Source organism: Homo sapiens, chromosome 10, assembly GCF_000001405.40.
Source record: "Homo sapiens chromosome 10, GRCh38.p14 Primary Assembly".
In the NCBI taxonomy this organism is placed as follows: domain Eukaryota; kingdom Metazoa; phylum Chordata; class Mammalia; order Primates; family Hominidae; genus Homo; species Homo sapiens.
In genome coordinates this window covers 63,740,003-63,763,119 of record NC_000010.11, presented here as the reverse complement: position 1 = coordinate 63,763,119, position 23,117 = coordinate 63,740,003, and positions in this window count along the sequence as shown.

Below are 23,117 nucleotides of genomic sequence, written 5' to 3'. Positions count from 1 at the left end.
TTTTTAAAGTAAGTTGGCCAAATCACTGTCTGTCACTTATACCCAGATACAGTAGGTCCAGAAAACCCTGCAGGGTAGGAGAATTTGTCTCTAAGGAGTTTGATTCCTTCTGAATAAATTAGGATTAGGAAAGGAAGCTCGTAATTGAGCCTATAAAACTCTAGAAGGCTTTTTAAATTCAATTTCTTAAATGGAAAAACATATATAATAAAAAGAATAGCAATGTCATGTCACAAATTTTTCTGTTCATCTCAATGGTTAAAGTTCAGCAATTTCTGGTTGCTAATGTAATTTTACTTCTCTGGGAGTAGCAGTTTAGTTCTTTGTGACATTTAGTAATGAGCACCATTAGATTGCTCCCTATAGCTTCTACCTGGGGACATTTGCCAGTCTATGTAGGCAAAGGGGCACATGAAGTCTTTTAATGCACCCAACATGCCACTGACAAGATACCAAAGAACAGTTCACCACTTCTGATTTATGACCCTCACACCAGAGGGTGTTGGGGGAGGAGAGGAACCAGAAGACCTAGGAAATCAGTGCAAACAATACAAAGTCTCCAGGCCTCAGCAGATGCACCCATAGCCTCTGGTTCCAACATCAAATGTCTGCCAGGCAGTGAGAAAGCAATGGGCCAGAGGAAATGAAAAATATTTCTGCATGAATAGAACTCTAAGAAGGGACTCTCAAGGTAATTTAATTCACCTACGATCTGATGAAGGAATCCCCTTCACAAAAACCCTTAACAGGTGGATGTCACTAAAGATGTCCAGCTGAATACCTTCAGTGATGGTGAACTCATTACCTTTTGGGCAGCTTGCTTCATTTTTAGACAGCACTATTTGTTGGAAACCTAACAACTCTGATTTGAAAGAAGCCACACAAAACCATGCTGCTCCCTCTTCCCTGTGGCCACCCTTTGCATTGATTTTGAATACAGTCAACATGCCTCACCTAAATCTTCTCAACTCTTGAGCTAACGCCCCCAGATGAACCAAATCATTTTTCACTTGACATGAATGTGACTTTTACTTCTCTGCTTATAAAGGGTATATCATTCAGGTCGTGGCAGGAGTTAGATGATGCACTCCTATTTGGGAACTTGAGTTTAATAAGGGGATCTTTTATAAAAGTGTGAGCAGAGTGTAGAAAAACTAAAAGGGATTGTGCCAAACCCCAGGGGTGTTACCATTCTGTCTTGAAAAAGCAAAGAAAGCAGCAGCACCTGGAGATGGCACAAACTGTGTCAAGAGGGTTGCCTGGTGGGCACTGTGAACTTTATTTACAGGTAGGGCCCTTTCTGGAAAGGGGCTGGTGGAATAAACACCCCTCCCTCACACATCTGCTTGACTCTAATCTGCCAGAGTTCTCCATTGGCCAAATTCAATTGGAAGCTTGAGGGAAAGAAAGCTTATCAACGTAATATACATGAGTTAGACTCCCGAGGCGCAGAGATGGGTGGTGAGTAGATCTGAGGGGCAAATGAGAAATATCCAGCACAGAGGGCATCTCAGGTCTTTGTCTCCCCAACAAGCATTACTTTTGTTCTCGATTTTCTTCTGGGAAACCACTTTTCCCCGATTCTCCTGCCATGGAATTTAAGCCTGGTTGATTACCCCTGTGGCTCTCTAGAGGTCATATGCCTCAGGCCTGCCCAATCAGAGCACCCAAGCCTCTGACCACAGTGATTGGTTCAGAGGCAAACATATAACCCAATTGGAGACAATGAGAAGCAAGTTCTGTACTCCTGCCAGAAGGGGCATGTTCTCCTTTCCTCTGAATTGAAGGTTATTGTCCTAGAGCTGTTAGAAGCCACACTGCCCTGCAAGGGAAGAGCCTGGATAAAAGAAAAATCAACTCAGAGGAAGGCAGAGCCAAACGAGAAGAAAGACTAGGCCCTGACAACATTGTTTGAGTTCCTGGATCCAATTGCTCCTGCAACCTACAGTGTCCTTCCCAGCCTGAAATTGAAATGATATTAAAAAGACAGAATTCTATAGCATGAAGAGCACTGGTGGGACATATGTTCAAACCTTTCTCCATCACCTTCTAGCTGGGCAACTTTGGGAAAATACTTAACTTTATGATCTCAAGTTCCTTGACTTTACAACAGGCATTATAATGCCCTGCCACCCTCATATGCTTATTGTAAGCACTAAGCAAGATCACATACTTAAAGGTCCCCTGTAACTTGTAAGGCACTGTACAAATGTCACAGATTCTTCTTCAGGTCATCCCCACATCCTTCGGATGCACCACCCTTGGGACACAGTGTTCCAGAGTCAGGGGCACAAGACATTCTAAAATTACTTCCAAGGCTGAGTAATGACATACTGAATAGCAGCTGTCAAGAGCAGTGGCAATCTCAACATTGCCAAATAGAAAAAATAAAGAAATGGACAAAATTGGCTTTATTTTAAAGAGACAGACTGGAATCAGCATCTAAGAATTACGAGAAAAACTCTGTTGAATTAAAAACTATGTCTGAAACAATGTCAAGGCAGAGGAAGACGAGAAACAGACACAGCTAAAGAAAAATAGCCCACACTGGTTCAAGTGGCAACTGTCGCAGCTGGCTAGCAACAGAGTCAAAATCAAAAACCATGGAACAGACAAGACAGAGTGCTTTCCTGAGGATAGAGAACTGTTGAAAGAAAAAGTTCACAGGTTACAACCATGAAATATTGGGAAAGAATAAAGGCAATGAAGCCAGTGAGGTGGGACAGTGAAGACAGGCTCAAAGAACCAGAAAAATACCAAGAATCTTATGGCTGAAGCTGACTCTGATAGTATGCAGGGGATCTGGGAGCAGTTCACCAAGTGGCTAAATCCCATGTGGAAATTTCAAAACTGGAATGGGAAAAATCCAAAGCACAGCTAGGAAAATGCCTTACCACAGAGGCAAAAGAGAAAAACACATGTGCAAAATGTTTCAGTGTGCTCGTCAGTAGTTCTCGCCTCACAGATATGAATACCAGACTTGGATGAGGCACTGGGCTTTTTACTGGTCCAACAACTTGATTCTACTATGCACTAAAATCAAAGAGGAAAGGAAAAATTCACTTGAATGTATAACCAATATCCCAAATGCACTGCAGTTTACCAGTGGGCTAAAAACTGAAAGATTAAAGGAAAATAAAATTTTTCTTGTGCAGCTGAAGAAAAATATATTTCTTACAAAGCACTCAAAAGAAATGTATTTCAGAAATGATTTTCAGCATCTGCTTTGTGCAAAGCACCATGCTAGGTGCTATGTAGGACAGGAGATGAAAGCAACACAGTTCTCTCCCTCGCACAATCTAACAATCCAATTGGAAAGGAAAATTCCACTAGCCCAAGATAGAATGCAGAATGGAATACTTCAGGTGGGACAGCCAGGTTTAGGTGGCTATAGGGTAGGTGTTTACTCAAAGAAAATCACAGAAGAAAGATCCATGAGACCGTTTTCCTCCTCCATTTAAGTGGGTGAAAGAAATGAATAAATCAGTTTAAGAATGATTTGTTGCCACCTTCCCCTCCTCCACCACCCCTCCTCCAGACATGGTGTTTCCAAGTCCTGCTACTTCCACCTCCAGACTACATCTTGAGTCCCTCCTCTTCCCTCTCTCCCCATGGCTACCACCCCGTTCCAGGCCAGTCATTTCTTGCCAAGGCGCTTCCGGTTATCGGTTTATTCCCATTCTCTCTCCCTTATAATCAGTCCTTCGCCCGGAATCCAGAGAAATGTTTTTAAGTGCAAACTAAATCAAAATCCCTCAGTGGCTGCCAAGACTGGAATGAGATATCAAATCTTTCAAGACACTGTATCTTTGGGCCTCTGACAACTCCTCCAGGCTCATTTCACCCCAGTTTCCACTTCACTCACCACACTCAACCTAACTGACCTTCACTTAGTTCTGTGAACGCACCACGGTCTTTGCCGCTGATTTTAGCCTACGCTGTTCCGTGTCTGCAGTGGTCTTCCCTTCCACTCTTCACCTAACTCTTATTCAGCCATCAAGTCTCAACTGAAAAATCACTTCCTCAGAGAAGTCTTTCTGAGCTCCCAATATAAATTAGGTCTCAGAATGCCCTGTACTTTTCTTTATCATAATTACATATTTATTCTGTTTGTTTGATGTCCAGCTCCCCGCAATACTAAAGAGTGGGAAACTTTTCTGTTTGTTCCCCACTATGCGCCTACTTCCTAGTACATTTCCTGGCACCCACTAGGGGCTCAGAAAATAATTGTTCAAAGAGAAAATATGCTCAGCACTAACATGGTGTACAAAAGTAGAAGTCATGTCCTCTTTCTTCAAGGGGCTTTTAATCTAATAGATACAAATCAATAGGAAACAGAATAAAATAGATGAAAATCCTGTGTAGAATATGTTATATGGTAAGTGCCACGGGGCAAGATAAGTTTACTATAACAAAAAGACCCAGCCTGGGTGACGTAGGGAGACGCTGTCTCTGCAAAAAAAAAATTTTTTTAATTAGCTGGACATGGTGGTTTGTGTCTGTAGTCCCAGCTACTTGGAAGGCTGAAGTGAGAGGATCACCTGAGCCCAAAGTGTGGAGGATGCAGTGAGCCATGACTGCACCACTCCACTCCAGTCTAGGTGATGAAGTGAGATCTTGTCTCAAATAAAAAATAAAAAGATCCAACAATAATCTAATGTCTTAAAGAATATAATATAGCAGAAGTCAATGCTCTAAATCAATGGGCAACTCTGTTCCCCAGTCCATCCAGAGATCCAACTTCTTTCCATATCACTTGTCTACAATCCTTCACAGTGTTGTCCTCATCTGCATACTTGAAGATAGGAAAAGGCATATCTAAGTTCTGACTCAAAAGGCATACAAGCAAAGCCAGCAAATGCAGATATCACATCTACTCACATTTCACTGGCAACAACTTAGAATCCAAGCTGCAAGGGGAGGCCGGGAAATGTAGCTCCTTATTGGATAGCAACAGCCCAGTTACAACTTTATTACTGTAGAAGAATAGAAAAATAGATTTTGGTGGATAAGAAACAGTTTCCAAGCCTGGCACAGTGGCCCACTCTTGTAATCCCAGCACTTTGGGAGGCCAAAGTGGGAGGATGGCAACAAAGGGAGACCTCTGTCTACAAAAAATACAAACATTAGCTAGTGTGGTGGCATGGCATCCCCCTGTAGTTCTAGCTACTCCAGGGGCTCAGGTGGGTGGATCACTTGAGCACAGGAAATCGGGGCTACAGTGAATTTTGATCAGGCCATTGCAGTCCAGCTTGGGTGATAGAGACCCTGTCCCTTAAAAAGAAGAAAGAAAAGAAGAGAAGACAAGAGAAAAGAAGAGTAGAGAAGAGAAGAGGAGAAAGAAAGAAAGGAAGGATTTCCAAGCCCTTGAATTAGATGAAAAAATAAAACCCAGCTATATAATATTTATCTCAAAGGTTGAAAATAAAAAGTAGGAAAAAGATATAAAGTATAAAACAAATGTTAATCAAAAATGATTTAAGGTAGGAATATTAATACCAGATATATAAAAAGTAAGGTGAAGAGCTTAAGAAGAGACGTGACATAATTATGAAAACAATCCATACTTTAAAAAATTTCTCTGATGATCCTTGTAATTGGATTAGTTTGTCACATTGTTTATGTAAAATACTAGTGCTCTCTTATATGAAATTTAATTTAATAACTTATTTTCATTTATTCCTGATTTGAATTCAACCCCAACAAAAGGAAAATCAGAAATAACTGAAAACGAGTTATACTGGCTAATGTATTTCTAAATGTGGCAACATATCTGAGCAATCAATTAGACAGTGCCCTCCCTTAAAGACCTCTACTTTGGGTGTTTTCTAAGCACTCTGCCTATAAAACAATGCCATCATGTCACTCTACAGCACACACTTTATCTTGGTGACTAATACTGATGTCAGAGCTTAGTAAAGTGTCCAAGGATTTTTTTTTTTTTGAGACAGGGTCTCACGCTGCCACCCAGCCTGGAGTGCAATGGCATGACCATAGCTCACTGAAACCTTGAACTCCTGGGCTCAAGCAATCCTCCCACCTCAGCCTCCTGAGTAACTGGAACTACAGGTATATGTCACCATGACTGACTAATTTTTTTAATTTTTTGTACAGACTGGATCTTGCTTTGTTGCCCAGGATCGTCTTGAACTCCTGGGTTCAAGAGATCCTCCTGCCTCAGCCTCCCAAAGTGTTGGGATTACAGGCATGAGCCACTGTGTCTAGCCCCAGTGATTTCTGAAAGATTGCTTTACAATGTTTCACTGATAATTAACCTCCTACCTCTGCACAAAGGTTTCTCATCTTCATTTTAAATTCACTTATTTACTGTCAGTATGGGTATGGGTGGACCAAGCCATCAACCTATTTTTCTGATGGATTTTCACTTTCAATACTTCCATACTGTGAGAATGGAAGTTTATTTTTTTGCTCCTGGACTTTTTCTACTCAAACATTTTTTTAAATGAACATTTTTGCTATAAATACTTGCTTGCAAAATGCCTGCATATTGATTAGAATCATTGGTGTTTTAGATAATTTCAATTATAAAAGATTTTTTTAAAGAATAGGGTTAATATTTTTATCTTAAAAACAAATAACTGATAATTGTCTGTAATTCTCTCAGAAATATGTGAAATGGCAAAAGTTAAGTTGCACAATATTCAGCATTTAGATGTAATGCATATTTGTCAGACTAATGGCTATATCAGCATCTTTAAGGAAGGTTATGTTATCTTCTTTATTTTTAAAATAGAGATTTTATTTTTAGTGAAATTGGACATCCATGGTTATTTAAAAATTTGTCTTTGCAACTTTTTCCTTATGATTCTAAAATGTCTTTGATTTGAAACACAAGCAGTCACAATAAGAACCAGGTTCCAGTATTTGTCTCTGTAAATAGACACTGTTTTTAAAAGACTATGGTTAGGACAAAGAAAAATCCCAGCTAGATTCTATAACTGATTCCACTCTGGGATTTAACAAGTTTTTCTACTTGTAGACAGGTTAGGTTCTGAAAGACTTTTTTTTTGTTGTTTGTTTGTTTGTTTGTTTTTGAGATGGAGTCTTGCTCTGTCACCCAGGCTGGAGTGCAGTGGCACGATTGGCTCACTGCAACCTCCATTTCCGGGGTTCAAACAATTCTCCTGCCTCAGCCTCCCAAGTAGCTGGGATTACAGGTGTGATCCTGCCACCATGCCAAGCTAATTTTTTTATTTTTAGTAGAGATGGGATTTTGCCATGTTGGCCAGGGTGGTCTCGAACTCCTGACCTTAAGTGATCTGCCTGCCTCAGCCTCCCAGAGTACTGGGATTACAGGTGTGAGCCACCGCGCCTGGCCCCTGAAAGACTTTTAAGTCAATATGTGGGTAAACCTAAGGAACAGCAGATTGCTGGGAATGGGTGGAGTGAGTGTGCTTTTGCTCTGGTTCTGTGTGTTGTTCCTGTCTCTGAATGTTCATAAATATGGAAGCTTCTGTGAAATAAATTAATCATGTCACTCTGAACCTGCCTTCCAGGCAAAGACCTTGTGATCAGCTATGCATTCTATTTCATTACAGCTGCCTAACTTTGGGAGAAGTCCACACCAGTTCCCAAACTACTCTCCCAACTCCAGTGTTAAAGGCAGTTGAGCTATATGAGCAGGCAAATGCCTTATAAGAAAGTCAGTGTGATCCAGGAGGGTGGCACATCCAACAGGCTAGAGCCCCATGAGCACTTCATACTTGCTAGTCCCTGTTCTAAGCACTTAATATGAATTAACTAATTTAATACTTAGAATGACCTTTAATTTCAGTATCTTTGTTTTATAAAGCAAGAAACTAGGGCCCAGAGAAGTTACTAACTCTCTCTTTGCAGGAAGGAAAGGTCCAAGATCACAGAGCTGGAAAGTAGTAAGGGCTGAGATTTGAACCCAGGCTGGCTGACTTCAGGGGCCACATTAGACAAATGAGCTATATTGCCTTTCAAGGCTGAGCAATGAACTAGCAAGAGCAATGGTCTATAAATCAGGCAATCGGGGTGCTAGTTTTAATTCTTCTAATAATTTGTTGGGTGTCCTTGAGCCCTTCATCTTTTTTTTTTTAAGAAGGGGGTTGTGGGTTAATAAAGAATTGCAAATTAAAGCAAGCACCATTTTCATCTATCAAGCTAGAAATGCTTTTTTTGCCACTATTATCAAAGGCAGAGCAAAATGGGCATTTTTCTGTATTGCTAGGAAGAATGTGATAATAACAACAGTAATAGTAATAATAGTTGAACTTTACTGAATGCTTAATGTGTGTTAGCACTGTAATAAATTCTTTACAGAGATTATCCATTGTAATCCTAATGGCCACTCCATGGTACAGGCATGATAGATGATGAGCCAAAGCTGAGATTCTCCACTGGTCAATAAAGAAGCAAAAGCTTCTAGAAAGATACAGGATCTGCCAAATGGCGAGAATTAGTAATGGTGGACAGTAGCAACAAAAACTCGGCAATCTACTCCAGAGCTTAGGCTTTCAAATATGAACACAATCTTTCCGTCTTTGTTAACATTAGTCAAAGCCCTTAAAATAATCATTTTCTTTAAATTTGCATTCTCATCTTGGAGTTTATCCTAATCTAGTTCAAGGAAATAATCATGAGCATTTGCAAGAATTTAGTTACAAAATATTCATGACAGTTTAGAATAGGATTAAAGGTGAATTTTTTCCTTCTTTTGCTTATCTAAATGTTCTATATTAAATATGTATTACCTTGGTATTTTTTAAAGGTTTTTCATATTGGAAATAGACTAAAAAGATGGTAAACATCCTTTTATGTTCCAGAATTCTGACTCTACAGAAGGCAAATATTGGATTTTAAAATAAGCCTGTTGAAAATATTAGCGATTGAAAATTTTTAATTATTAGATATTACAGTCATAATTATCTTATTGTACTGTGGTGATTACAAAAATTGACAAGTTGCTGATGATCTTACTCCCCTACCCCCACTTCCTGCTTGCTTTTGCTCTGCAAACTTTCCCTGTCTCTCAAATTTCACGTCCTTCAAGAAGTATTCCCTGGCCCTTGGTCTGGTTTTTTGAGGGAGGCCTGGGGAATTTCAATCTTTTAAACAATTTTTTTATTGATGCATAACAGATGTACAGTGAAGATCTCATCAGTGTAGTTGGGATATTAATCACCTTAAATATTTGTCTTTAAGCTAGAGACTTGAATTATTCTCTCCTAGCTATTTGGGTTTTGTTTTTTTTTTGTTTTGTTTTGTTTTTTGTCGGGGGTGGGGGGAGGTGTTTTTTTTTGTTTTGTTTTGTTTTTTGAGATGGAGTCTCTCTCTGTCACCCAGGCTGGAGTGCAGTGGCTCAATCTCGGCTCACTGCAATCTCCACCTCCGGGTTCAAGCAATTCTCCTGCCTCAGCCTCCCGAGTAGCTGGGATTACAGGCATGCACCACCACACCCAGCTAATTTTTGTATTTTTAGTAGAAGCAGAGTTTCACCGTGTTGGTCAGGCTCATCTCAAACTCCTGACCTCAAGTGATCCGCCCACCTCGGCCTCCCAAAGTGCCGGGATTACAGGCATGAGCCACCATGCCTAGCCTCTCCTAGCTATTTGAAATGTACAATAGGTTGTTGTAAACTATAGTCACCCTACTGATCTATCAAAAACAGGTCTTACTTCTATCAAATCATATGTTTATACCCATTGGTCTGGTTGTTATGGTTGTTTTTGGGGGGCTTCCCTAGGATCTGAGGCATACCTGAATCTTAGCCCTGGATAACACTGTCTATATTTGTTTACCTGTTTCTCTATGAGACTAAAAGATCCCTGAGGGCAGAAGCTAATTCTCAATAGATTTTTTTATTTCCCAGTCCCTAACACAGTACATCTGTGAATGAAAGAGAATAAAATACTCTTTAACAATCAGCAGGCTGGACGCAGTGGCTCAGGCCTGTAATCCCAGCATTTTGGGAGGCCAAGGCAGGAGGATCACTTAGCACAGGAGTTGGAGACCAGACTAGGCAACATAGTGAGACCCCATCTCTATAAAAAATTTAAAAAGTAGCCAGGCATGGGGGTACACACCTGTTGTCCCAGCTACTTGGGAGGCTGAGGCAGAAGGATTGATTAAGCCAGGGAGATCGAGGCTGTAGTGAGCTATGATTGTGCCACTACAAAAGCCCGGGCAACAGAGTGAGACCTTGTCTCAAAAATAAATAAACAAATAAATAAATAAATAGAACATATGTCTTAACAATTACCATCACTTTTACCAGATGGAAGGTCTTAACTGTGAGTTGTCCAGGTTCTTGGTGTGTTGAACAAAAATTTGAACAAAACGCACAAACAAAGCAAAAAGAGAATGAAGCAACAAGGGAACGAAGCAACAAAGGAACAAAGCAACAAAAGGCAAACAAAGCAATAAAGAACAGAGTAACGAAGGCACAGATTTATGAAGAGGCGGAAGTACAATTACAAAATGGGAGCGAGCTCAAGCAAGCGGCTGGAGAGCCTCTTCTGTTGCAAGGCTCCCCAGGATTTGTATAAAGCCAAAAGAATTTGGTAACACCCCTAAGTGCCCTTTAGGGGCCTCCAATTGGTGATATCCTATAAAGGATTGGCCTGCGACCAATCAGAGGCTGAAGTGGAGACTTCCGTCTTATCACAGGGGTGAAGATGAGGCCTGTGTGCTGCCCAATCTTGCCTAGAACTGGCTGCACCTGCTGTTCTCTTGCTTATGCCCCAGCCCTTGGCTACCCTAATTCCCCATTCTCCTGCCTCATTACCATGAACAATATGAATTAAATGTTTTTAAGCTTTCATGGTCAAGGTTTTAAATCTTTTGCATTTCATATCATTTCTAAATTAATCTCTTTTAAATTAAGAGATAGTTTATTGACACTTCCTGAGCTCTCTGAGCAAATTATAAGAATGTGTGCAGTCACCATGGTTTTTTTACCTGACTGTAATAAGGCTTAATATTGTTTTGAAAAATGTATCTGCATTTGTCCTACTTACATTCATTGTGCTAACAGAAATACCCTACATGAATTCTGTTTCCAAAGTTAATTTGGCAAACATCTGCTGCAAGAAAATGGTCCAGATGGTTTCTGACATGTAGTGATAATAAATAAGTGGTCCTTTTCACATATTGCATGGTATTTGCTGTAGTTTTCTATTAAAAGGATGTGGTTTTTAAGGGACAAAAAAAAAAATCACTTAATTTCATGGCAACTCAAGGCACATGGAAACATATGTGACTCATGTGTCTAAATGCCAGGCCACTCTTTATAGATTCCAGTGGGGTCACATTGCCAGGAATATGTCATATGTTACTGACCCATGTTGCTTTCTGATATTTTAATATCACTTGCCACATGCTTTACATGTATTATCTTACTTAATCTTTTCAACTGTCCTACATAGGTATTATCATTATATCTATTTTCTTTCTTTTTTTTTTTTTTTTTTGAGTTGGAGTTTCACTCTTGTTGTTGCCCAGGCTGGAGTGCAATGGCACCATCTCAGCTCACTGCAACCTCTGCCTCCCAGGTTCAAGCAACTCTCCTGCCTTGGCCTCCGGAGTAGCTGGGATTACAGGTGCCTGCCACCACGCCCAGGTAATTTTTTGTGTTTTTAGTAGAGACGGAGTTTCACCATGTTGGCCAGGCTGGTCTCGAACTCCTGACCTCAAGTGATCCACCGGCCTCGGCCTCCCAAAGTGCTGGGATTACAGGTGTGAGCCACCGTGCCCGGCCCATTATCTCTGTTTTCTAGATGAAGAAATAGTCCAAGGGTTTTAGTAAGCGGTAGAGCACCTGACACCAAAGCCCCGTGTTCCTAATATCCACACACCCTCCACCCCAATAGTTTCTAGGCCGTGCTACCTTGTTGCATTGCCACTGGACAAACTCCTGGGTAAGGCTTATTGGCCGAGTCTTCTTCACCTGCAAAATTGCACAAAGACACCTTGCCACACCTCTGAAGCCCACTGTCAGTCCTTTCCCCTGAAAGTGGCACATTTGTTGCCCACCCTCCAAGTTGTCAAACACTGAAGCCACAGAGAGAATGACACAGATGGGGAAAGGCCTCTCTCACTCCACCCAGTGTCCCTCATTAACATCCAAATGGCAGTTTATCACATATCTCACAGAGCGCCTTCTGAAACACCTTCATCTCTGCTTGCCATCCCTCTCTCCATAGGCCAGACCAGGGGACCAAATCTGAGACAGACTCTCTGCATTGCCCTCCCCAAGGGGATAAGACTTTTATTCTCCTTTTGTCAAAACCTACTAGCAACCTGATTTCTACAAACTGAGTGGGGTTAGGAGGGAGGTGAGCACTAAGATATCACAAGAAATGTAACCAGATAAGAGAATAGGGCTGTGTTTACTGAAATTCCTTGCATGAAGAGCATGTCTTGTGGTGGGAAGGAATACATTAGTAAGTCACTTGGAGATTGATATGGTTTGGCTGTGTGTCCCCACCCAAATCTCATCTCGAATTATAATCCCCACATGTCAAGGGAGGCAGGTAATTGGATCATGGGGGCAGTTTCCCCCATGCTGTTCTTATGATAGTGAGTTCTCACAAGATCTGATGGTTTTATAAGCATTTGGAAGTTCCTCCTTTGCTCCTCTCTCTCACCTGCCACCATGTAAGATGTGCCAACTTCCCCTTCTGCCATGATTGTAAGTTTCCTGAGGCCTCCCCACCTAGACAGAATTGTGAGTCAATTAAATCTATTTCCTTTATAAATTACCTAGTCTTGGGTATATCTTTATAGCAGTGTGAAAATGGACTAGTAAGATTCCATGTGAGTGTGTAAAGGTAGAAGCAAGTGGTCACTAAACTGCCTGTTAAGCAGAGCAAGTCTAGTTCACGTCTAAATTTGATTTGTTGGGAAAGTTGAACAAGTTTGAGGCCAGAGTGGAAGTACTCTTGATAACAGACAAGAGTCTGAGTGGGTGGCTCTGCCTCTCCCACAAAGAGTGTTTAATCTTTCCCCTACTGAAGAGATCTTGGACAAATACTTAAAAGAATAGGGCTGTGAAGAAGCACTAAATTGAGAGCTTGAAACTGCCTTACAACTCTGCCCTATCAGTTTCAGCACTTGGTACAACCTGGCGGCTGCTACAGTTCCTGCCTCCCATATAACTGCTTGTGGAAATTTTTAATTTTTCTTTCTTTTTTTGAGATATTGCCCAGGCTGGTCCTGAACTCCTGGGATCAGGCAATCCTCCCTCCTTGGCCTCCCAAAGTTCTGGGATTACAGGCATCAGCTACCACATCCAGGCTGATTTTCTTAAATTTAACTAATTTTTGATGTCAATATTTGTAGCACCTGCTTTAAGTAGAGCCCTAGGCTATTGGTGTTGTGAGAACATAAGAAAAATATCAGAGGAAGCTTTAAATGAACAAGCAAAACTATTGCAAAGCACTTAAATAATATTCACTACCTTAAATAACATTAGTGAGCACTTAAAGTAAGTCTGGTACTGTGCTAAGTGCTTTGCATGCATTATCTCATGTAATACACATATACACACAATACCTTGAGGTCGGTACCAGTATTATCCCCATCTTCCAGGTGAGAAGCAATTGCCGAAGGTCTCTCAGCTAACAAAGGGCAGAGCTACCATAAGTCATCATGGGAAGGAGATCTACCTAGAATGTTTGGGCAAAACTCAGTGAGGAGATGAGAGTAGATCTTTTAAAGAAGAGAAAGAGGCCAGCTGCAATGGCTCACGCCTGTAATCCCAATACTTTGGGGGGATGGATCACTTGAGGTCAGGAGTTCAAGACCAGCCTGGCCAACATGGTGAAACCTCGTCTCTACTAAAACTACAAAAATTAGCCGGGCATGGTGGGGGGCGCCAGTAACCCAACTACTCGGAAGGCTAAAGCAGGAGAATCGCTTGAACCAGAGAGGCAGAGCTTGCAGTGAGCAGAGATTGCGCCACTGCACTCCAGCCTGGGAAACAGAACAAGACTCTGTCTCAAAATAAATAAATAAATAAATAATAAAAATAAAGAAGAGAAAGAGACAGAAGCATGCGAGGGGGCCAGGAGGCCAGGATATGCAATGAAAACTGCTTGAGAAAAGGTGGAGATGGCAGAATAAAGAAAGCCATGGAACTCAAACTGTGGCCTGTGGAACAAACCCTGCCCACCACCTGTTTCTGTACAGTTTGCTTTTGCAATCTGTTAAGAATGATTTTTACCTTTTTTTTATTATTATATTTTAAGTTTTAGGGTACATGTGCACAACGTGCAGGTTAGTTACATATGTATACATGTGCCATGTTGGTGTGCTGCACCCAGTAACTTGTCATTTAACATTAGGTATATCTCCAAATGCTATCCCTCTCCCCTCCCCCAACTCCACAACAGGCCCCGGTGTGTGATGTTCCCCTTCCTGTGTCCATGTGTTCTCATTGTTCAATTCCCACCTATGAGTGAGAACATGCGGTGTCTGGTTTTTTGTCCTTGCAATAGTTTGCTGAAAATGATGGTTTCCAGCTTCATCCATGTCCCTACAAAGCACATGAAGTCATCATTTTTTATGGCTGCATAGTATTTCACGGTGTATATGTGCTACATTTTCTTAATTCAGTCTATCATTGTTGGACATTTGGGTTGGTTCCAAGTCTTTGCTGTTGTGAATAGTGCTGCAATAAACATACATGTGCATGTTTCTTTATAGCAGCATGATTTATAATCCTTTGGGTATATACCCAGTAATGGGATGGCTGGGTCAAATGGTATTTCTAGTTCTAGGTCCCTGAGGAATCACCACACTGACTTCCACAATGGTTGAACTAGTTTACAGTCCCACCAACAGTGTAAAATGTTCCTATTTCTCCACATCCTCTCCAGCACCTGTTGTTTCCTGACTTTTTAATGATGGCCATTCTAACTCGTGTGAGATGGTATCTCATTGTGGTTTTGATTTGCATTTCTCTGATGGCCAGTGATGATGAGCATTTTTTCATGTGTCTTTTGGCTGCATAAATGTCTTCTTTTGAGAAGTGTCTGTTCATATCCTTCGCCCACTTTTTGATGGGGTTGTTTTTTTCTTGTAAATTTGTTTGAGTTCATTGTAGATTCTGGATAGTAGCCCTTTGTCAGATGAGTAGATTGCAAAAATTTTCTCCCATTATGTAGGTTATCTGTTCACTCTGATGTAGTTTCTTTTGCTGTGCAGAAGCTCTTGAGTTTAATTAGATCCCATTTGTCAATTTTGGCTTTTGTTGCCATTGCTTTTGGTGTTTTAGACATGAAGTCCTTGCCCATGCCTATGTCCTGAATGGTATTGCCTAAGTTTCCTTCTAGGGTTTTTATGGTTTTAGGTCTAACATGTAAGTCTTTAATCCATCTTGAATTAATTTTTGTGTAAGGTGTAAGGAAGCGATCCAGTTTCAGCTTTCTGCATATGGCTAGCCAGTTTTCCCAGCACCATTTATTAAATAGGGAATCGTTTCCCCATTTCTTGTTTTTGATTTTTACCTTTTTAAATGTTTGGGGTGGGGGGATCAAAACAAGAATAACATTTTGTGACCCAATAAATCATATGAATTTGTTTAATCTCTTTTTTCAACTTTTATTTTAGATTCAAGGGGTACATGTGCAGGTCTGTTAATCAGAGTATATTTCCTGTTGCTGAGGTTTGGGGTACAATTGAAACTGTCACCCAGGTAGTGAGCATAGTACCCAATAGGTAGTTTTTCAGTCCTTGCCCCACTCCTTCCTTCACCCATCTTGTAGTCCCCAATCCCCACTTCCCATATTCAAGTCCATGAGCACCCAATGTTTAACTCCCACCTATAAGTAAGAATGTGCAATATTTGGCTTTCTGCTTCTGCATTCATTCACTTAGGATAATGGCCTCCAGCTGCTTCCATGTTGCTGCAAAGGACATGACTGATTTCATTCTTTTTTATGGCTACATAGTATTCTGTGGTATATATGTACCACATTTTCCTTACCCAATCCATTGTCGATAGGCACCTAGGTTGATTCCCTGTCTTTGTTATTGTGAATAGTGCTGCAATGAATGTATGTTCCTTTTTGGTAGGACAGTTTATTTTCTTTTGGGTATATACTCAGTATTGAGATCAAACGGCTCAAATGGTAGCTCTGTTTTTGTTCTTTTTTTCTCTCTTTTTTTAGAGACAGGGTCTCACTCTGTCACCCAGGCTGGAATGCAGTGATGCAGTCATAGCTCACTGCCACCTTGAATTCCTGAGTTCAAGGGATCCTCCTGCCTCAGCCTCCCAAATAGTCAAATCACAGACACATGCTACCAGCACCCAGCTAATTTTTTAATTTTTTGTAGAGATGGGTTCCCGCCATCTTCCCCAGGCTAATCTTGAACTCCTGGGCTCAAGCAAGCCTCCTGCCTCAGCCTCTCGAGATGCTGGAATTACAGGCATAAGCCACTATGTTCAGCCTGTTTTTAGTTCCTTGAGAAATCTTCAAAGTGCTTTCCACAGTGGCTGAACTAATTTACATTCTAACAGTAAATAAGCATTTCCTTTTCTCTGTATCCTTGCCAACATCTATTATTTTTTTACTTTTTTTTTTGAAACGGCGTCTCACTCTGTTGCCCAGGCTGGAGTATAGTAGCGCAATCTCAGCTCACTGCAAACCTCCGTCTCCCGAGTTCAAACAATTCTCTGCCTCAGCCTCCCGAGTAGCTGGGATTACAGGCACCCACCACCACACCTGGCTAATTTTTGTATTTTTAGTAGAGACGGGGTTTCACCATCTTGGCCAGGCTGGTCTTGAACTCCTGACCTCGTGATCCACCCGCCTCGGCCTCTCAAGGTGCTGGGATTACAGATGTAAGCCACCACGCCTGTCGTTTTTTGACTTTTTAATATTAGCAATCCTGACAAGTGTGAGATAGTATCTCGTGGGTTTGGATTGCATTGCTCTGATGATTAGTGATGATGAGCATTTTTTCTTATGTTTTTGGCTGCTTGTATGTCTTCTTTTGAGAAGTGTCCGTTCATGTCCTTTGCTCATTTTTTAATGGGGTTATTTGGTTTTTTCTCGTTGATTTGTTTAATTTCCTTATAGATTCTGGATATTAGACCTCTGCAGGATGCATAGTTTGTGCATATTTTCTCCTATTCTATAGGTTGTCTGTTTAATTTGTTGGTAGTTTATTTTGCTATGGAGAAACTCTTTAGTTTAATTAGGTCCAACTGTCAATTTCTGTTTTTGTTGCAATTGCTTTTGAGGACTTAGTCATAAATTATTTGCCAAAGCTGATGTCGAAAAGGGTATTTCCTAGGTTTTATTCTAGGATATTTATAGTTTGAGGTCTTACATTTAAATATTTGATCCATCTTGAGTTAATTTTTATATACGCTGATAGCAAGGGGTCCAGGTTCATTCTCTGGCATATGGATAGCCAGTTATCTCAGCACCATTTATTGAATAAGGAGTCCTTTCTCCATTGCTTATTTTTGTCAACTTTGTTGATCATCAGATGGTTATAGGTGTGCAACTTTATTTCTGAGTTCTCTATTCTGTTCCATTCATCTATGACTGCTTTTATTATGCTGTTTTGGTTACTAAAGCCTTGTAGTATAGTTTGAAGTTGGGTAAGGTGATGCCTCCAACTTTATTCTTTTTGTTTAGGATTGCCCTGGCTATTCAGGCTCGTTTTTGGTTGCATATACATTTTCAGATAGTTTTTCTAATCCTGTGAAAAATGAGGCTGGGTGCAGTGGCTCACACCTTTGGGAGGCCGAGGTAGGCGGACTGCTTGAGGTCAGGAGTTTGGGACCAGCCTGGCAAACATGGCAAAACCCCATCTCTACTTAAAAAATATAAAAATCAGCCAGGCGTGGTGGTGTGTGTCTGTAATTCCAGATACATGGGAGACTGAGGCAGGGGAATGCCTTGAACCCTGGAGGCAGAGGTTGCAGTAGGCCAAGATCACACCACTGCACTCCAGCCTGGGCAACAGAGCAAGACTCTGTCTCAAAAAAAAAAAGAAAGAAAGAAAAATGACTGGTAGTTTGATATGAATAGTATTTAATCTGTAGATTGCTTTGGGTAGTATGGCCATGTTAACAATATTGATTTTTCCAACCCATGAGCATGGAATGTTTATTCATTTGTTCATGTCATCTATGATTTCTTTCAGCGGTGTTTTGTAGTTCTCCTTATAGAAATCTTTTATCTCCTTTGTTAGATGTACTCCTAGGTATTTTTGTGTTTAACTATTGTAAATGAGATTGTATTCTTAATTTGGCTCTCAGTTTGAATGTTATTGGTGTATAGAAATGCTACCGGTTTTCGTACATGGTTTTTTGTATCCTGAAACTTTACTGATGTCATTTATCAGTTCTAGGAGACTTCACAGAGTCCTCAGGGTTTTCTAGGTATAGAATCATTTCATCAGTGAAGAGAGATAATTTGACTTCCTCTTTCCCTATTTGGATGACTTTTATTTCTTTCTCTTGCCTGATTGCTGCTCTAGCTAGGACTTCCAGTATTACATTGAATAGAAGTGGTGAGAGCAAGTATCCTTGTTTGTTTCAGTTCTTGGAGAAACGCTTCCAACTTTTTCCTGTTCAATATGATGTTGGCTCTGGGTTGTCATGGATAGCTCTTATTATTTCGAGGTAATTTCCTGTAATGCCTTGTTTGTTGAGGGTTTTTATCATGAAGTGATGTTGGATTTTACCAAATGTTTTTTCTGCATCTGATCATATGGTTTTAATTCTGTTTATGTGGTGAATCACATTTATTGATTTATGTGTGTTCAGTCAACCTTGCATCCCGGGAATGAAGCCTACTTCATCATGGTGAACTAACTTTTTGATGTGCTGCTGAATTCTCTTTACAAGTATTTTGTTGAGGATTTTTGTGTCTGTGTTCATCAGGAATATTTGCCTGTAGTTTTCTTTTTTTATTGTGTCTTTGTGAAATTTTTGTATCAGGATGATGCTGTTTATGCAGAATGTGTTAGGGAGGAGTCTCTCTTCCTTGATATTTTGTAATAGTTGGATTGGTACCAGTTCTTTTTTGTACATCTGACAAAATTTGGCTGTGAATCCATCTGGTTCAAGGCTTTTTTTGGTTGGTAGTTTTTTATTACTGATTCAATATTATTATTGGTGTGTTCAGGGTTTAATTAATTCTGATTCAATCTTGAGAAGTCGTGTGTTTCCAGGACTTTATCTATTTCCTCTAGATTTTTTAGTTTGTGTGCATAAATGTTCATAATGGTCTTGATAATCTTTATTTCTGTGAGATCAGTGGTAATGTCACATTTGTCATTTCTAATTGTGCTTATTTGGAACATCTCTCCTTTTTTCTTTGTTAATCTAGGTAGTGGTCTATCAATCTTGTTTATCCTTTCAAATAACCAACTTTTCCTTTCATTGATCTTTTGTATAAATTTTTGGATCTCAATTTTGTTGAATTTTGCTCAGTCATAGCAACTTTAGTGTCTTCAAATAAGGTTTTAGTGGAACACAGCCATTCTCATTCATTTGCATATTTTCCATAGCTGCTTTCATGCTACAATGGCAGAATTGAGTAGTTGCAACAGAAAACATGGCCCCCAAAGCTTAAGACATTTATTTTCTTACCCTTTATGGAAAAAGCCAATCTCTGGACTAGAACAGTGGTCCCTCTCAACATCAGTCAGTGATGAATTTTTTTTTTTACCAATTCACAGAAAAATACCAAAAAAAGTATTTAAAAAGTGGCTTTTTCATAAAGTTAAACTTACTCAATTTAAAGAAGAGTCCTTTATCCTCAGTTAACACCCTCAGTTAACAAAAAAAAAATACTTTTTGTTGAAGTGAAGAGATGTCCTTTCTCTTATTCAGTGATGATGAATGATGGTTTGTTTCTATTTTATCCCTTTATCCACTCTGGTTGATGGGGATAGAAGGAGCAATGACCTTTTTCCTCTCTCTGGCCTTTTTCTCAGCTTCTTCCTTTGGTCTTCATCTGCTCCACCCACCTACCTTCATTCTTCCCAGCTCAAGCTCTGTCCCTCTCCTGCAAAGTTAGTGACCTCAAAAGGAATTCACACTCCGCAGAAATAGCAAAAGAGAATTGCAGGTTATCTGCCATCTGTGTTTAAAGGTAAATGCCTAGTTTCATGTAATTAAGTCCCAAGCATTTTAACTGCTTTAAGTCAGCTTTAAGAGATGGCCCTTCTTTCTTACCATCAAACCATGATGCTCAGTATTTCTCCCACATGGCAGGCACTCAATAACTGCCTGTGCTGAACTTTTAGGGATTGATTCTCAAACTATTGGTTAGAAGCAATTATGATGGAAATTTCCATTGAGGCAGACAGAAGTATTTTTTTTTTTTCTAAAATCAAGCCAGAAATACATTCCTGGGCAAAACTGTAATTCTTAAGTATATCTAAATTTTTTAATGTGTTATAACTTTCTTAAAAACTTTATATTGGGGCCAGGAGCAGTGGCTCATGCCTGTAATCCCAACACTTTGGGAGGCCAGGCTGGGCACACCACTTGGGGTCAGGAGTTCAAGACCAGCCTGGCCAACAAGGTGAAACCCCATCTCTACTAAAAATACAAAAATTAGCCAGGCATGGTGGCATACGCCTGTAATCCCAGCTGCTCTACTCGGGAGGCTGAGGCAGGAGAATCGCTTGAACCCGGGAGGCAGAGGTTGCAGTAGCCGAGATTGTGCCATTGCACTCCAGCCTGGGCAACAGAGCCAGACTCCTTCTCAAAAAAAAAAAAAATTTTTGTTGGAATATAACATACAAGAAGTGCACAGATCATAAGGGTACAGTTCAGTGAATTTTAACACATTTAACACACCCTTATAACCAATATCCAGGGCATTTCCAGCTTCTAGAATGCCTTCATGCTTCATTCTAGTCACCATCTCAAAGACTTAAAAAGCTATCCTGAATGCTAACAGCATAGATTAGTTTTGCCTGGTTTTGTACTTTAAAATGGAATCATGTAGTATGTAAACAATTTTTTTTTTTTTTTGAGACGGAGTCTCACTCTGTTGCCAGGCTGGAGTGCAGTGGCGCTTTTTCAGCTCACTGCAACCTCCGCCTCCCGGGTTCAAGCAATTCTCCTGCCTCAGCCTCCTGGGTAGCTGAGACTACAGGCACATGCCACCACACCCAGCTAATTTTTGTATTTTTAGTAGAGACGGGGTTTAACCATGTCGGCCACGATGGTCTCGATCTCTTGACCTCGTGATCCACCCATCTTGGCCTCCCAAAGTGCAGGGATTACAGGTGTGAGCCACCATACCCGGCCATAGTATGTACACTATTATGGCAAGCTTCTTTCACTCCAGTGATGGGGTAGGGGTCGGGAATGGGAAGGGGTGCTCTGCCCCAGCAGGAAGAAATATTTTATTACTCATTGAATCAATAGCACATGGAATTCAAAAAGAAGAAAAATTACTGGGCACAGTGGCTCACACCTGTAATCCCAGCACTTTAGGAGGCCAGCACAGGCAGATTGCATTGCTTTAGTTCAGGAGTTTGAGACCAGCCTGGGCAACGTGGTGAAACCCTGTCTCTACTAAAAATACAAAAATTAGCCAGATGTGGTGGCTTCTGCCTATAGTCCCAGCTAATCAGGAGGCTGCAGGTGGGAGGATCACTTGACCCCGGGAGGCAGAGGTTGCAGTGAGCCAAGATCACGCCACTGTACCACTGCACTCCAGCCTGGGTGACAGAGCAAGACCTTGTCTCAAAAAAGAAAAAAAAAAGAAGAGAAACTAATTTTAGTCAGTTTTATAATTATTTTTAAATTTTCTACAGCCAATGCACACTCATTGCCTACACCTGGGGTGGACAGTTCTCACCACCCACTGGTATCTGTACATTCCTCTTTCATTTAACATATATTTAGAAGATTCATCCATATGGTTGCAGATAGATGTAGATCATTCCTTTTCATTGGTGTGTAGGGTGTTGATATGGTTTGGATCTGTTCCCACCCAAATCTTATGTCAACTTGTAATCCCCAATGTTGGAGGTGGGGCCTGATGGGACGTCATTGGATCATGGGAACAGTTTCTCACGGTTTAACACCATCCCCCTTGGTGCTGTCATGGCAATAGTGAGTTCGGGTGAGATCTGGTTGTTTAAAAGTATGTAGCACCTTCTCCCTCTCTCTCTTCCTCCTGCTCCAGCCATATAAGATGTGCCTGCTTCCCCTTTGCCTTCCGCCATAATTGTAAGTTTCCTGAGGCTTCCCCAGAAACAAAAGCCGCTATACTTCCTGTGCAGCCTGCAGAACTGTGGGCCAATTAAACCTCTTTTCTTTATAAGTTACTCAGTCTCAGGGTTTTTGTTTTGTTTTGTTTTGTTTTTTGAGACAAGGTCTCACTCTGTCACCCAGGCTGTAGTTCAGTGGCACAGTCACAGCTCACTACACCCTCAGCCTCCACACGCTTAGGTGATCCTCCCACCTCAGTCTCCTGAGTAGCTGGGGCTACAGGCACTCACACCATGTCTGGCTAATTTTTGTATTTTAGTAGAGATCGGTTTTTGCTATGTTGCCCAGGCTGGTCTTGAACTCCTAGGCTCAAGAGATCCACCTGCCTTGGCCTCCCAAAGTGCTAGGATTACAGGCGTGAACCACTGCACCCAGCCAAGTATTTCTTTACAGCAGTGTAAGAAGGGACTAATACAGATGTCACTGAATGAAATACCACAAACTGATTTATTCATCTATATTTTTTTGATGAACATTTCTCTGGGTTGGGGCCATAATCCTGAGAGACACAATCCCAAACACCATAATCCCAAAAGTTGAAATACCAAAAGATGAAAATCCAGAAAATCTAATTCTGGGAAAAGTAGTTTTTTTTAATTCTTTTTAAAATATTTACTTATCTTTTTAAAAGGAGATTTATTATTTATTTGAGAAACATAAAAACATTACAGGGCCAGGCACGGTGGTTCACACCTGTAATCCCAACACTTTGGGAGGCCAAGGTGGATGGATAACTTGAGGTCAGGAGTTCAGGGCCAGCCTGACCAACATGGTAAAACCCTATTTCTACTAAAAATACAAAAAAAATTAGCCAGGCATAGTGGCGTACACCTGTAATCCCAGGTACTTGGGAGGCTGATGAAACAAGAAA